This window comes from Homo sapiens, chromosome 10 (genome assembly GCF_000001405.40).
Source record: "Homo sapiens chromosome 10, GRCh38.p14 Primary Assembly".
NCBI classification, from domain to species: Eukaryota; Metazoa; Chordata; class Mammalia; order Primates; family Hominidae; genus Homo; species Homo sapiens.
In genome coordinates, this window is record NC_000010.11 from 77,938,257 (window position 1) to 77,952,535 (window position 14,279).

The 14,279-nt window shown below is 47.2% G+C and overlaps 1 protein-coding gene across 1 annotated transcript in view, besides 7 other annotated features; it reads right to left on the minus strand.

Moving 5' to 3' along the window:
• Positions 1–2,480, minus strand: part of DLG5 (discs large MAGUK scaffold protein 5) — a 149,946-nt gene extending 147,466 nt beyond the window's left edge. Inside the window, exon 1 of the mRNA XM_047425998.1 lies at positions 2,414–2,480. The gene's annotated coding sequence lies outside the window, so the exon portion shown is untranslated. The remainder of the gene's footprint in view (positions 1–2,413) is intronic.
• Positions 8,895–9,189: a silencer, noted in NCBI's record as "tiled region #2866; K562 Repressive non-DNase unmatched - State 7:EnhWF". NCBI's record gives its function as "represses a minimal TATA promoter and a strong SV40 promoter by Sharpr-MPRA in K562 cells {active_cell/tissue: K562}" and the evidence as "EXISTENCE:reporter gene assay evidence [ECO:0000049][PMID:27701403]".
• Positions 8,895–9,189: an enhancer, noted in NCBI's record as "tiled region #2866; HepG2 Activating DNase matched - State 7:EnhWF". NCBI's record gives its function as "activates a minimal TATA promoter and a strong SV40 promoter by Sharpr-MPRA in HepG2 cells {active_cell/tissue: HepG2}" and the evidence as "EXISTENCE:reporter gene assay evidence [ECO:0000049][PMID:27701403]".
• Positions 9,961–10,498: an enhancer, noted in NCBI's record as "H3K27ac-H3K4me1 hESC enhancer chr10:79707975-79708512 (GRCh37/hg19 assembly coordinates)". NCBI's record gives its function as "activates a minimal SCP1, AML or CMV promoter by ChIP-STARR-seq in naive and primed H9 embryonic stem cells {active_cell/tissue: H9 hESC(naive and primed)}" and the evidence as "EXISTENCE:reporter gene assay evidence [ECO:0000049][PMID:30033119]".
• Positions 10,499–11,036: an enhancer, noted in NCBI's record as "H3K27ac-H3K4me1 hESC enhancer chr10:79708513-79709050 (GRCh37/hg19 assembly coordinates)". NCBI's record gives its function as "activates a minimal SCP1, AML or CMV promoter by ChIP-STARR-seq in naive and primed H9 embryonic stem cells {active_cell/tissue: H9 hESC(naive and primed)}" and the evidence as "EXISTENCE:reporter gene assay evidence [ECO:0000049][PMID:30033119]".
• Positions 10,499–11,574: a biological region, named in NCBI's record as "H3K27ac-H3K4me1 hESC enhancers GRCh37_chr10:79708513-79709050 and GRCh37_chr10:79709051-79709588".
• Positions 10,915–11,209: a silencer, noted in NCBI's record as "tiled region #8439; K562 Repressive non-DNase unmatched - State 8:EnhW". NCBI's record gives its function as "represses a minimal TATA promoter and a strong SV40 promoter by Sharpr-MPRA in K562 cells {active_cell/tissue: K562}" and the evidence as "EXISTENCE:reporter gene assay evidence [ECO:0000049][PMID:27701403]".
• Positions 11,037–11,574: an enhancer, noted in NCBI's record as "H3K27ac-H3K4me1 hESC enhancer chr10:79709051-79709588 (GRCh37/hg19 assembly coordinates)". NCBI's record gives its function as "activates a minimal SCP1, AML or CMV promoter by ChIP-STARR-seq in naive H9 embryonic stem cells {active_cell/tissue: H9 hESC(naive)}" and the evidence as "EXISTENCE:reporter gene assay evidence [ECO:0000049][PMID:30033119]".

Below are 14,279 nucleotides of genomic sequence, written 5' to 3' on the forward strand. Positions count from 1 at the left end.
AACATAGGGAGACCCTGTCTCTACAAAAAGTAAAATGAAATTTTGCCGGGCATGGTCCCAGCTACTTGGGAGGCTGAGATCGGAGAATCACTTGAGCCCAGGAGGTCAAGGCTGCAGTGAGCTATGATTGTGCCACTGTACTCCAGCCTGGGTGACAGAGCAAGACCCTGTCTCAAAAAATAAAAACAAACAAAAACCTCACCTACTTGTTGAAAGAATGAATTAGGAAGGGAGAGGAGATTACTTGTTTTGGGTATTTGTAATTGTCCTCAGGAACTCTCCATAAGAACACTTCCATTTTTCAGTCTAGACCAGGGACTCAGGTCTGAGAGGACCAGTATCTCTAGGGTAAATATAACCCCAGCCACAAAGCAAATTGAAGCAGTCCCCCTTTCCTGAGCACTAAGTATGTTCCAGGCACTGTACTGAGTGCTTTGCCCACAGGCCCCAGTTACTCTTCACCACACCCATAGAAAGTAAGCATCATGAGCAGCTCCATCATACAGATGAGGGATCTGAAGCTGTGCATTTCTACCCCTCCCAGCCTTTCTAGTTGTGTGTGGTTCCCATCTTGCAGGGGAAGAAAATCTCAGGAGTGGCTGAGAAGTCCCAGAAGAGCTTTTGCACATGCATCAAAACTGCCCCTATCAGGCCCGGTGCAGTGGCTCACGCCTGTAATCCCAGCACTTTGGAAGGTGGGCGGATCTCCTGAGGTCAGAAGTTCCAGACCAGCCTGACCAACATGGTGAAACCGTCTCTACTAAAAATACAAAATTAGCCGGGTGTGGTGGCGCATGCCTGTAATCCCAGCTACTCGGGAGGCTGAGACAGGAGAATCACTTGAACCCGGGAGGCAGAGGTTGCAGTGAGCTGAGATCTTGCCATTGCACTCCAGCCTGGGCAACAAGAGTGAAACTCCGTCTCAAAACAAAACAAAACAAACAAACAAACAAAAAACTGCCCCTGCCTTCCAAGGAAGGAAAGCCAGTTCCTGGGGAATAAGCCAGAAATCAACAGTGGCCCTGCCTGCCCTGCCGGTGGGTGCAGACATGTGGAAACCAGATGGAAAGGGGGCCCATGGGCCCAATCAGACTCTTGGAGGTGATGAGAATGCCCCGAAGCCAGAAACAGCTGGCTAGAAGAGACGGGTGTAGCTTGGGAATTCTGGTGTGGGTAAAACAGAAACCCCCCTGGGCACCAACCCTTCCACGGCATTCAGAGTCCCTTTCACCCACACCTCTATTGTTCCTCCTTTTCTCCATGTAGCCATTGCGGTACCACCATTCCACACTGAGGCTCAGAGAAGCAAGTCAGCCTGCTCAGGATCATGAAGCTGGAAAGTGATGAAATCAACCACCTTAAAACAACTCCCCACAGGTGGGGGCAAGGCTGACCCCTTTAAGCAAACCTCCTTTGTGTAGAAGCAGCAGCTGGAGAAACAGCTGCCAGATGGAACACTGGCCTTCACTTTCCAGCTGGGAGCCATCCAGCTCTATGCAGCTTTACTGGAGGAGTTCCTTGGAGGAAAAGCTCCTCCATGGGAGGCCTCGTTTAAGCAAACACGGTCACATGAGGTGTTGCAGCAGCAGCAGGCCACCGCAGAGATAGCTGCTTGGGTGCAGGGCCATGAAGACCTCTGAGACTGAACATACAAATGGGCAATGGCCAGACTATATTTAAAAATAGAACTCCAACCCACAACCTGTAGCAACCAATTCAGAAAGCTGACCCACCATTGGCAACCAAGTCCAGGAAGCCAAACAGTCTCTGCGGCAATCAGCCCAAAATGGCCAGAACTTGACCAACAACTGACAAAATGCCCAGAACTTGACCAACAACATCCTAATTTTTGCCCCAGTGTGCAACTTAGGACCAATTGGAGGAAGCCAGATGTGCTCCCCTAACCAGTCACATAGGATGTCCCGCTTCTAATAGGCCCACCTACAGCTTCCTGATGTCAACAGCCTCCAATCAGGGCACACCCAAAGCCTCCCCTTTTCCCACCACAAAGCTTCTCCACTTCCCTGCCCACCTTTGAGGCCTCTGACAAAGGCAAGTGATGGTAGCTGACTCCCTTGCTATAGCAAGCTCTGAATCAATAGGCTTTGCTCATTTTCATGTGGGCTTCGTTTATTTCTATACCTCCTAGTTGCTTAATTGTTTTATGACTTGATTTTCTTATCTGTGAAATGGGACCATAATTTTGGACACAAATCTTTTGGGAGGAAAATGCCTTGAATTGCAGGGGAGTCCCCGATACATCCCCACTCCCTGGGTCACCTCTGATCTCAGTTCAGCTGCCACATAACCCACCTCCCTCTTGTTCTGAGCATAACTGGGCACATCTACATGCCCAGTTCCTTCATTTTTTCAGGGGAGGACCCTGAATCCAAGCAGGAAAATGCTGACTTACCCGAGGTCCTCTCCTCCAGAGGTTTTTAATGACCCAGTCTTGCTCTCTGGTTTCCTCCCTCCTGACTGCCCAGGAAAGCAAGCACATGAGCCTTTTCAGCAACTCTGCAGGGTGGGGCTTCAATCTATGGTGAAACTGAGGAGGCTAAAGGAGGAAAAATGCACACAGGAGTGAGTTACCAGGCCACAGAAGCTTCCCAACCAGGAAAGGCCAGTTGTGGCCTGCATACGGAGCTCTGCCCTCCATAGGGAGGTTTTTCTTCCTTGGTTTCAGGGAGCGTGAGCCCCACCCAGGTTTTCTGAACCTCTTTTATTCAGGGAGGCTGGCTGGCTCTAGGAGAGTCCCTTTTCCCTTCCTGGGGTTGTTTCCACCCAAGCCTGGCTCCACCTTCTCACTGCAAGACAAAAGCAAAGGGGATCACAAATCACAGTACTCACCATTCTAGTAGTAGTGTGCCATAATACACGATATTAACTACTTTTCATATATAGACCCTTTCAGTCCTCAGAACAGCCCTCTGATACATATATGTACCATTATTAGCATGTCCATTTAACAAATGGGGAAACTGAGTCATGGAGCCATCAGATGATGTGCCCAAAGTCACACAAATAGCAAGTCGAAGAACAGGGATTAAAACCCACATCCAGAGATGAGCTCTCAAACACCTTATGGTACCACTTCAGAATGTTTTCAAATGAACACAAGTATGAATAGGACATGGTCAAGCGTAGTTGCTCATGTTTATAATCCCAGCACTTTGGGAGGCTAAGGCAGGAGGATCACTTGAAGCCAGGAGTTGGAGACAAGGCTGGGCAACATAGTGAGACCCCATCTCTACAATAAAATAAAATAAAATAAAATTAGCTAGGCATGGCGGCACACACCTGTAATCCTACGGAGAGGCTGAGGCGCAAGGATCACTTGAGCCCAGGAGTTCGAGGCTGCAGTGTGCTGTGATTGCGCCACTGCACTCCAGCCTAGGTGACACAGCCAGGTCCTCTCTCTAAACAATATCAAAAAAATCAAATACTAATAGAACAGTATTTTGCGTGTTCCAAAGTTGGGAGCAGGATTCATTTATATTTCAGAGAAATGTTGGGTTCTTTCTCATTTATTCTTAGTTCATTTGGCTTCCACAAACATTCACTGACCCCTAAGAGAGATACCGAGAGATATGAATAAGGCCTTCTCCGCCTCAGACCTAGCACTTTCCCGGGGTTGAGGAGGCCACTCTGCTAACCCCCAACCCACTCACTTCAGGGCTTCCCAGATGGTGAAATATAGTTTACACTCAGAAAAGAGCAGGACACACGTATCACCAGACAACACACGTAACACTGGAAGAGCTAGTTTTACATCCAGATTCCTGGGCTTCAACCTAGGAAAAGAGCCTGAGAAACTTTTTTTTTTTTTTTTTTTTTGAGACAAGGTCTCGCTCTGTCACTCAGGCTGGAGTGCAGTGGTGCAGTAATAGCTCACTGCAGCCTCAAATGCCTGGGCTCAAGGAATCCTCCCACTTTACCCTCCTGAGTAGCTAGGACTACAGGCACGCATCACCACATGGGGCTAATTTTTAAAAAATGTTTGTAGAGGCGGGATCTTGCTTTGTTTTCCAGGCTGGTCTCAAACCTGTGGGCTCAAGTGATCCTCTTGCCTCGGCCTCCCAAAATGCTGGGATTACAGGTGTGAGCCACTACACCAGGCCAAACCTAATTTTTTTTTTTTTTTTTTGAGACAGAGTTTTGCTCTTGTCACCCAGGCTGGAGTGCAATGGCGAGATCTCGGCTCACTGCAGCCTCCGCCCCACCCCACCCTACCCCAGGTTCAAGCAATTCTCCTGCCTCAGCCTCCTGAGTAGCTGAGATTACAGGCGGCTGTCACCACACCCAGCTAATTTTTGTATTTTTAAAATTTATTTTTAGTTTTTTGAGATGGAGTCTTGCTATGTTGCCCAGGCTGGAGTACAGTGGTGCAAACTCGGCTCACTGCAACCTCTGTCTCCCAGGTTTAAGCAATTCTACTGCCTTGGCCTCCCGAGTAGCTGGGATTACAGGTGCATGCCACCACACTGGCTAATTTTTATATTTTTAATAGAGATGGGGTTTTGCCATGTTGGCCAGGCTGGTCTGGAACTCCTGACCTCGTGATCTGCTTGCCTCGGCCTCCCAAAGTGCTGGGATTACAGGCATGAGCCACTGCGCCCGGCCATAATTTTTGTGTTTTTAGTAGAGACAGGGTTTCACCATGTTGGCCAGGCTGGTCTTGAACTCCTGATGTCAGGTGATCCACCCACCTTGGCCTCCCAAGGTGCTGGGATTATAGGCGTCAGCCACCGCTCCCGGCAAAACCTGAATTTTTAACTAGCATGCTGGGTGAATTTTATCAGGACAGTGAACCAGGACTCTCTGAAATCCCTTCCCCGGGATAGTCAACGAGGCTTTCAATTTAAACTTGCATTTGAAGCTTGCAGAGACTCACACTGACTTACCCAGGCCCTAACACACAGCAGCTGTCTCCATGGTTGCGCCAGGTAGTGAAGGATACAGGGCAGCAGGAAACGAGTCCCGGTTCTCAGGTGGATCCCGTGCTTCCACCTCTGTTAGAGCCCAGGCCCTGAGGGCATAGGGCCAAATTGCCACAGAGCTCCAGAGAAATCTGTCTCTCCCGTCCCCCACCCTAAGACTGAGCTGCTGGAGGAAAGAGGCCAGGTTTGTTTCCTTTTATTGGTTAACTCTCTTCAGTCGCCCCTTTCTCCTGCAGACACCTTGGGGACTTTTAGTAATTGTCAGCTGAATGAATAAATTAATGACAGAGGGAGACAGACGTGTTAACAGCTAACAGTAATTCAAGCAGAATGGAGTAAGTGCTAAATAGTGGTGGAATGAGTCATGAATGCTGACAGGGAAGGAAGAGGGAAAAAGGCATTCATTCTCTCCCCCTCCACTGTCAAAACAGTGCCTTCACTCTTCCTCCCTCCATCTCTCTTACAGGCACCAGAGAGCAGAAAATGTATGTGTATAGTTTCAAGAACAGTTCCAAAGCAAACACCCATATAGTCACCCCCATGTGCTGGCCCCCAGGATAAGAAATAGAACCTTGCCAGAACCTCAGAAGCCTTTCCTGGCCCCCTCCATGACATCATCATTCCCCGCCTCTTGCCCTCATCTAACTTCTAATCTGATTCTGAGGGGAATCATTTTCTTACTTTTCTTTTTTTTTTCTCCTTCTTTTTTTTTTTTTTTTTGAGACAGAGTCTTTCGCTCGGTCACCCAGGCTGGAGTGCAATGCCATGATCTTGGCTCACCGCAACCTCTGCCTCCCGGGTTCAAGGGATTCTCCTGCCTCAACTTCCCAAGTAGCTGGGATTACAGGCATGCGCCACCACACTTGGCTAATTTTGTATGTTTAGTAGAGATGGGGTTTCACCATGTTGGCCAGGCTGGTCTTGAACTCCCTGCCTCAAGTGATCCACCCACCTTGGCCTCCCAAAGTGCTGGGATTACAGGCGCGAGCCACCGTGCCTGGCTCATTTTCTTACTTTTCTTAATTTTTTTTTTTTTTTTTTTTTGAGACAGAGTCTCGCTCTGTTGCCCAGGCTGGAGTGCAGTGGCGCAATCTCGGCTCACTGCAACCTCTACCTCCTGGGTTCAAACGATCCTCCTGCCTCAGCCTCCCAAGTATCTGGGATTATAGGCACCTGCCACCACGCCCAGCTAATTTTTGTATTTTTTGTAGAGATGGACTTTCACCATGTTGGCCAGACTGCCTCTGGTCTCGAACTCCTGACCTCAAGTGATCTGCCTGCCTTGGCCTCCCAAAGTGTTGGGATTACAGGCATTACCACTGCCTCTGGCCATTTTCTTACTTTTCTTTATTGTTTGACTGTGAATGTCTATGTCACAAGACAAGACGTTGCCTTGTTTTGAATTTATGACCACACGTTTTCTTCTGTGGCTTGCTTTCCTTGTGCAATATTTTTTGGACTTTTGCCTGTGTCGATGCTTGTGGTGGTAGGTATACATTCTCACTGCTGCATGGCCGATTCTATTGTGTAAACATACCACAACTTACTTAGCCATTCTCCTGTGGATGGTCATTTGGATTGTGTCCAGTCTTTGGCAATTACTAGCAATGCTGCTGTATGTGACTCCTAATGCACACATCTATTTAATATATTTAAGAGGAAGTGCTGGGTCATGGGGTATGTGATTTTCAACTTTCCCAGCTAGTGCCTAACTGTTTTCTGAAATGCATCTGCTTCTAGACTGTCTCATTTGCAGTTCAACTTACTCAGTAGCACTAGGGTAGTCTCTCCTAACAGGTAATACCAATTGAACTCTCTTAGTTTCATCAGGGTAAGCGTTTGGGGAAAGGGGAGGATAAAAATGGTTAGGTGTGGCCGAGTGTGGTAGCTCATGCCTGTAATCCCAGCACTTTGGGAGGCCAAGGTGGGCGGATCACAAGGTCAGGAGATGGAGACCATCCTGGCTAACATGATGAAACCCTGTCTCTACTAAAACTACAGAAAAATAAGCTGAGTGTGGTGGTGTGTGCCTGTAGTCTCAGCTACTTGGGAGGCTGAGGCAGGAGAATGGCGTGAACCCAGGAGGCGGAGCTTACAGTGAGCTGAGATCACGCCACTGCACTCCAGCCTGGGTGACACAGTGAGACTCCATATCAAAAAAAAAAAAAGAAAAGGTCAGGTATGGTGGCTCACACACTAGCACTTTGGGAGGGAGGCTAAGGAAGGAGGATCACTTGAGTCCAGGAATTAGAGGCTGTAGTGAGCTATTATCATACCCCTGTATGCCAGCCTGGGCAACAGACTGAGTCCCTATCTCAATAAAAAAAAAAAGAGGAGAAGAAAAATGGTGTATAGAGACCCCCGATGGGAGTAAGCCCAAGGTTCATTGGCTACTGTGACAGTCAGTTAAATTATTTTTTTCTGGCTGGGTGCAGTGGCTCATGCCTGTAATCCTGCACTTTAGGAGGCTGAGGTGGGCAGATCAATTAAGGTCAGGAGTTTGAGACAAGCCTGACCAACATTGCAAAATCCTGTCTCTACAAAAATACAAAAATTAGCCAGGCGTGGTGGCGGGCGCCTGTAATCCCAGCTACTAGGGAGACTAAGGCAGGAGAATCACTTGAACCTAGGAGGCAAAGATTGCAGTAAGCCAAGGTCATGCCACTGCACTTCAGCCTGGGCGACAGAGCAAGACTCTGTCTCAAAAAAACAAAAACAAACACAAAAAAACCCAAAATAAAAAATTATTTTTTTCTGTGAGTAACAGAAATCCCCAAATAACAGCAGATTAAACAAAACAGAAATACATTTCTCTCCCACATAAATGAAAGTCTGAAGTCAGCTATCCAGACTGATACAGTGCTCCACGAGGTAGGTTCCTTTGCTCTTGTTCCACTGTCTCTGCAAATGGCTTGAGCTGCTTGAGCTCCAGCCATCACGTCTATATCCTAGCCAACAAGAAGGAGGAAAGACAAAAAGAAATTTTTGTCTCTTTCCTTTGAATACACTTTCAGAAAGTCACACAGGCACTGCATATATTCCAGTGGCCAGAGCTTAATCTCACAGAAAGAAAGATCTGCAAGTGATACTGGGAAATGTAGTCCTTGTTCTTGGTGGCTGTGTGCCCAGCTAAAATCCGGGAGTTTCATGATTAAGGAAGGAGGGAGAATGGATTTTGCAGGACAATGAACAATCTCTGCTATGGATATCCTTGCTCAGGAAAGCACTTCTGGGTAGGTCTGCCTAATGCCCTCACCACACACACTTACAGATACATATCTCAGAAGTCGAAATGGAGAGTAAAGTAGGTATTTAGCAATGCCATGTCTTTATTTATTTTATTTTATGTTATTTTATTTTTTGAGACAGTTTTGCTCTTGTTGCCCAGGCTGGAGTGTAATGGCGCGTTCTCCGCTCATTGCAACCTCTGCTTCCCAGTTCAAGCAATTCTCCTGCTTCAGCCTCCCAAGTAGCTGGAATTACAGGCATGTGTCACCATGCCCCGATAATTTTGTATTTTTGGTAGAGACAGGGTTTCACCAGGTTGGCCAGGCTGGTCTCAAACTCCTGACCTCAGGTGATCCGACCACCTCAGCCTCCCAAAGTGCCAGGATTACAGGCATGAGCCACCTTGCCTGTCAATGCCATGTCTTTAAATATTACAAGATATACTCTCTGTTCATCTAGGAAACTGTGGTGCCCAAATGGTGAGTATAATTAGTTATTTTAGGCAAATACTCTGCTGGATCATATGGCAATTTTTTTTTTTTTGAGATGGAGTCTTACTCTGTCGCCCAGGGTGGAGTGAAGTGGTGCCATCTCGGTTCACTGCAACCTCCTCCTTCTGGGTTCAAGCAATTCTCCTGCATCAGCCTCCTGAATAGCTGGGACTACAGGCACTTGCCACTTTACTTGGCTAATTTTTGTATTTTCACCATGTTGGCCAGGCTGGTCTTGAACTCCTGACCTCAGGTGATCCACCAGCCTCGGCCTCCCAAAGTGCTGGGATTACAGGTGTGAGCCACTGTGCCCGGCCTGGATCATATGGTAATTCTATGTTTTATTTATTTACGAGACAAGGTCTCACTCTGTCATCCAGGCTGGAGTGCAGTCATGTGATCATAGTTCACTGCAACCTTGAACTCCTGGGCTCAAGGTATCCTTCTACGTCTGCCTCCCAAAGCGCTGAGATTACAGGCATGAGCCACCACATTCAGCCTATGTTGAATTTTTTTTTTTTTTTTTTTGAGATAGGGTCTCGCTCTGTTATCCAGGCTGGAGTGCAGTGGTGTGATCACAGCTCACTGCAGCCTCCACCTGGCTCAAGTGATCCTCCTGCCTCAGTTTCCCAAGTAGCTGGCACCACAGGTGCACACCACCATGCCCAGCTAATTAAAAATTTTTTTTGCAGAGATGGGGACCTCTCTGTGTTGCCCAAGCTGGTCTTGAACTCCTTACCTCAAGTGATCCTCTTGCTTTGGCCTCCCACAGTGCTGAGACTATAGGTGTCAGCCACCATGCCTGGTCTATGCTTAATTTTCTGAGGGACTGCCACACTCTTTTCCATAGCAGATGCATGATTGTACATTTCCACCCAGAGTGCACAAAAATTTCAGTTTCTCGGCCTGGCACAGTGGCTCACGCCTGTAATCCCAGCACTTTGGGAGGCCGAGGTGGGCAGATCATGAGGTCAGGAGATCGAGACCATCCTGGCTAACACAGTGAAACCCCGTCTCTACTAAAAATACAAAAAAATTAGCTGGGCGTGGTGGCGGGCGCCTGTAGTCCCAGCTACTCGGGAGGCTGAGGCAGGAGAATGGCATGAACCTGGGAGGCGGAGCTTGCAGGGAGCCGAGATCGTGCCACTGCACTCCAGCCTGGGTGACAAAGCGAGACTCTGTCTCAAAAAAAAAAAAAAAAAAAAAAAAAATTTCAGTTTCTCCATATCCTTGCTAAGGCTGGTTATTTTCTGGTTTTTATTTATGTTTAAAATATGTATTTATTTACTTATAGAGACAGAGTCTTGCTCTGTTGCCCAGGCTGGAGTGCAGTACAGTGGCATGATCATAGCTTACTGCAGGATTGAACTCCTGGGCTCAAGGATCTTACTATCTCAGCCTCCCCAGTAGCTGGGACTATAGGCATGTGTGACCATGCCTGGCTAATTTTTTAATTTTATGTAGAGACAGGTTCTGGCTATGTTGTCCAGGCTGGTCTCCAACTCCTGGCCTCAAATGACCCACCCGGTTTGGTCTCCCACAGTGCTGAGATTACAGATGTGAGCCACTGTGCCCAGTCTATTTTTAAATATATTCTTAAATTTTTCATTGTAACCATCTTTTTTTTTTTTTTTTTTTTTTTGAGACAGGGCCTCATTTTGTCCCGCAGGCTGGAATGCAGTGGCACAATCTTGGCTCACTACAGCCTCTACCTCCCGATTCAAGCAACCCTCCTGCCTCAGCACCCCAAAGTAGCTGGGACTACAGGTGCATGGCACCACGCCTGCCTAATTTTAAATGTCTTTTTTGTAGAGGCGGGGTTTAGCTGTGTCGCCCAGGCTGGTCTTGAACTCCTGAGCTCAAGCGATCCTCCCGCCTTGGCTTCCCAAAGTGCTGGGATTACAGGCATGAGCCACCGCGCCCAGCCAGATAGTAGCCATCTTAATGGAGTGAGATGGCTTACTTTTAAACATTATTTCTAAACTGAACCCAGACCCTGGCATATTAGAGGTGGTTACACAGTGAACGCATTTGACGAACAGTCAAGGTAATTTTGTTTTCCAGGGTTTGCTCCATGAATAAACAATCTCTGAGAGGCTAGTATCTTGTCCAAGGTCAAGAGCCTGAATTTGAATTGTCTGACTGAAAGGCAGCATGTTCTCTACTAGTCACCTCTCTACCTGGTTCCACCCTATGCAAGGCAAACAAACGCAGAAGAAAGAAACCCATTGCCGTGCAAAATCCAGTGATTCCAAACCCAACCAGCCCACCAGGGATGTTCTGGGAGTCCGAGCTGGGGACAGGAGCACAGCCAGCCCTAGCCAGCCCTCCCCCCACCACACTCAGTGCCTGGCGGGGCAGAGCGAGTCACATTTCAGCCTCACTCACAGGCCAGCTTGAAATTCGGCCCAGCCGCCACTGCCTCCTGAGAACTCCTCCGGATGCCTGCAGGCTTATGCGGGGCTGAGTCACTTCCTCACCTTAATTCTCCCCTAATACCTTCCCTTTCTCTGCTGCTTTACTCCTGGCACCACTGTCTGGGTGTGGAATGTCTGGGGAAGCTGTGCAGGTGGGTTGGCTGAGCTGTCTGCCCAGATACCACAAACATGGCTGGGGAGAGAGGATGCAGGGGTAAAAGTAAAGCCAGATTTGTCTGCTGGCTCTTAAGCGCATCCTAATCCCCTCAGTCAGTTTGATCTTCGCAAACATGAGCACAGGTCAATATCTCTAAGCTTGGGTCCTGAGGGGCTGGTGGAGGATGGAGCAGAGGATGGATGAAGAGGAACAGGAAGTGAGGGGAGAGTGATGGCTGCTTTGGCTTTTAGAAACTTCCATCCCACATTACTTTCCCTAGGGAAGCTCCCACCTCCCATCCCTGGGAGAACAGACTGCATCCTGGAAGGTCAAGTTCCAGGTCATGTTAAATATGATGGTTTCCTGGATGAGTCTAAGGACATATCATTAATATCTTCAGCCTATTTCCAGAAGTCCTGCTGTTCCTCTTACCTACATGTATGCTGTTCTTCCCTGTGTACAACTTAACTTTCCTTTTCAGGTTTCGGATGCTTTGTCTGTACATTGCTTTGTGTGTTTGCCTGCCTCAGCTTGTACTTTCGGAGATAGAAATTGGGTCAAAGTTTTAATTTTTATTTAAGTTATTCATTTATATAGTTTAAAAAGTCAAGGGATGGTGCAAGATTTATGAAAAAGAGCCCTCTCCCTTCCCCTTAGCAGAGATAATCATCTTCACCTTTTTTCTTTTTTTTTTTTTTTTGAGACAGAGTGTCGCTCCATTGCCCAGGCTGGAGTGCAGCGACGTGATCTCGGCTCACTGCGACCTCCACCTCCCGGATTCAAGAGATTCTCCTCCTGCCTCAGCCTCCCGAGTAGCTGGGACTACAGGCGTATGCCACCATACCTGGCTAATTTTTGTATTTTTAGTAGAGATGGGGTTTCTCCATGTTGGCCAGGCTGGTCTTGAACTCCTGACCTCAAGTGATCTGCCCGCCTCGGCCTCCCAAAGTGCTGGGATTACAGGTGTGAGCCAGCATTCCTGGCCATCTTCAATTTTTATAGCTCATTCTTTTGGCATTTGTCTCCATTTCCCTCAATAATATTATTTTATTACTACGTCATGATTTTTCAGTTTTAGGCACTATTTATTGTCTTCCATACTTGAACAACCCATGCACCCTTCCTGGCCTCCATCTTTCCACTACAGTCATACAATAATTTGGTTAGAGCAATAGCCAGTTTTTACATTAATACCACTATGTAAAGACTATTACCATGTGATGGACTATGCACAATTTTTTATTTTCCCTGGAGCTAATAATTATCTCCGCCCCCACCCCAATTCATTTACTTAGTTTCCTATGTGTTTAATGCCAAGCTCTTTCAGTTGTTATAATCTTCCCTTAATACTTTCAGATGATATTCTACCAATTTTATTTTCTTGAAGAAATCTCTCTTAGACATGGCTGGGCACGGTGGCTCATGCCTGTAATCCCAGCACTTTGGGAGGACAACATGGGTGGATCGCCTGAGGTCAGGAGTTTGAGACCAGCCTGGCCAGCATGGTAAAACCCCATCTCTACTAAAAACACAAAAAATTATCTGGGCGTGGTGGCAGGTGCCTGTAATCCCAGCTACTCGGGAGGCTGAGGCAGGAGAAGTGCTTGAATCGGGGAGGCAGAGTTTGCAGTGAGCCGAGATCGCACCATTACACTCCAGCATGGGTGACAAGAGCAAAACTGCATCTCAAAAAAAAGAAAAGAAGAAATCTCTCCTAGACATTTCTGACCTTATCTGGTCTAGGCTGGTTGTCCTATAGGACTGTTGCATTGTCGTCATCTTGCAATCTCTTTTTACCAACATCCTGGGGGATTCTCTTTATCTATCACATGTCAGATTCCTGTTTCCCCTTGTCTTTTTCTTGGTTTACTACCTTATCATCCAGGAGCCTCCTGAGTATATAAACATTTTTTTCTGAACCTTAAATGACTCAAATGTCTTTTTCTATCTTCAACCTTGATTGATAGTTTGGTTCTGTAGTCCCAGCTACTCGGGAGGCTGAGGCAGGAGAATGGCGTGAACCAGGTGGGCAGAGCTTGCAGTGAGCCGAGATTGCGCCACTGCACTCCAACCTGGGCGACAGAGCAAGACTCCATCTCAAAAAAAAAAAAAAAAAAAAAAAAAAAAGATAGTTTGGTTGGGTATAAAATTTTAAGTTGAATGGCTGGGTTCCATGGCTCACACCTGTAATCCCAGCCCTTTGGGAGTACGAGGTGGGTGGATCACTTAAGGTCAGGAGTTTGAGACTTGGTGAAACCCTGTCTCTACTAAAAATACAAAAAATTAGCCAGGTCTGGTGGCTCATACCTATAATCCCAGCTACATGGGAGACTGAGGCAGGAGAATTGCTTGAAGTCAGAAGATGGAGGTTGCAGTGAGCTGAGATCGCGCCACTACACTCCAGCCTGGGCAACAGAGTGAGACTTTGTCTCAAAAATAAAAAAAAAAAAAGAATTATGTTGGAGATGATTTTCCTTTGGAAGTTTGAAAGCATTGCTTATCTTCTAACTTCCAGTGCATCTATTGAGACATTCAAGGCACTCTAATGCCTGACCTCCTCCCCTTTCCCTTTGGAAACTTGCAGGATCTTCTCTTTGTCTTCAGTGTTCTGAATTATAATGATTTGTCTTGATGTTGGTCTCTTTTCATCCATTGGGCCAAGAAATCTTGGGCCCTTTTAAACTGGAAATATATGTCTCCGTTTTTGAAAATTTTCTTTGGGTATTTTATTTTATTTTATTTTATTGAGACAGAGTCTTGCTCTGTCGCCCAGGCTGGAGTGCAGTGGTGCAATCTCGGCTTACTGCAACCTCCGCCTCCCAGGTTCAAGCGATTCTCCTGCCTCAGCCTCCTGAGTAGCTGGGATTACAGGTGCCTGTCACCACACCCGGATAATTTTTTGTATTTTTAGTACAGATGAAGTTTCACTATGTTGGCCAGGCTGGTCTCAAACTCCTGACCTTGTGATCCACCCGCCTTGGCCTCCCAAACTGCTGGAATTACAGGTGTGAGCCACTGTGCCCAGCCCAGGTGTTTTTTTAATCAT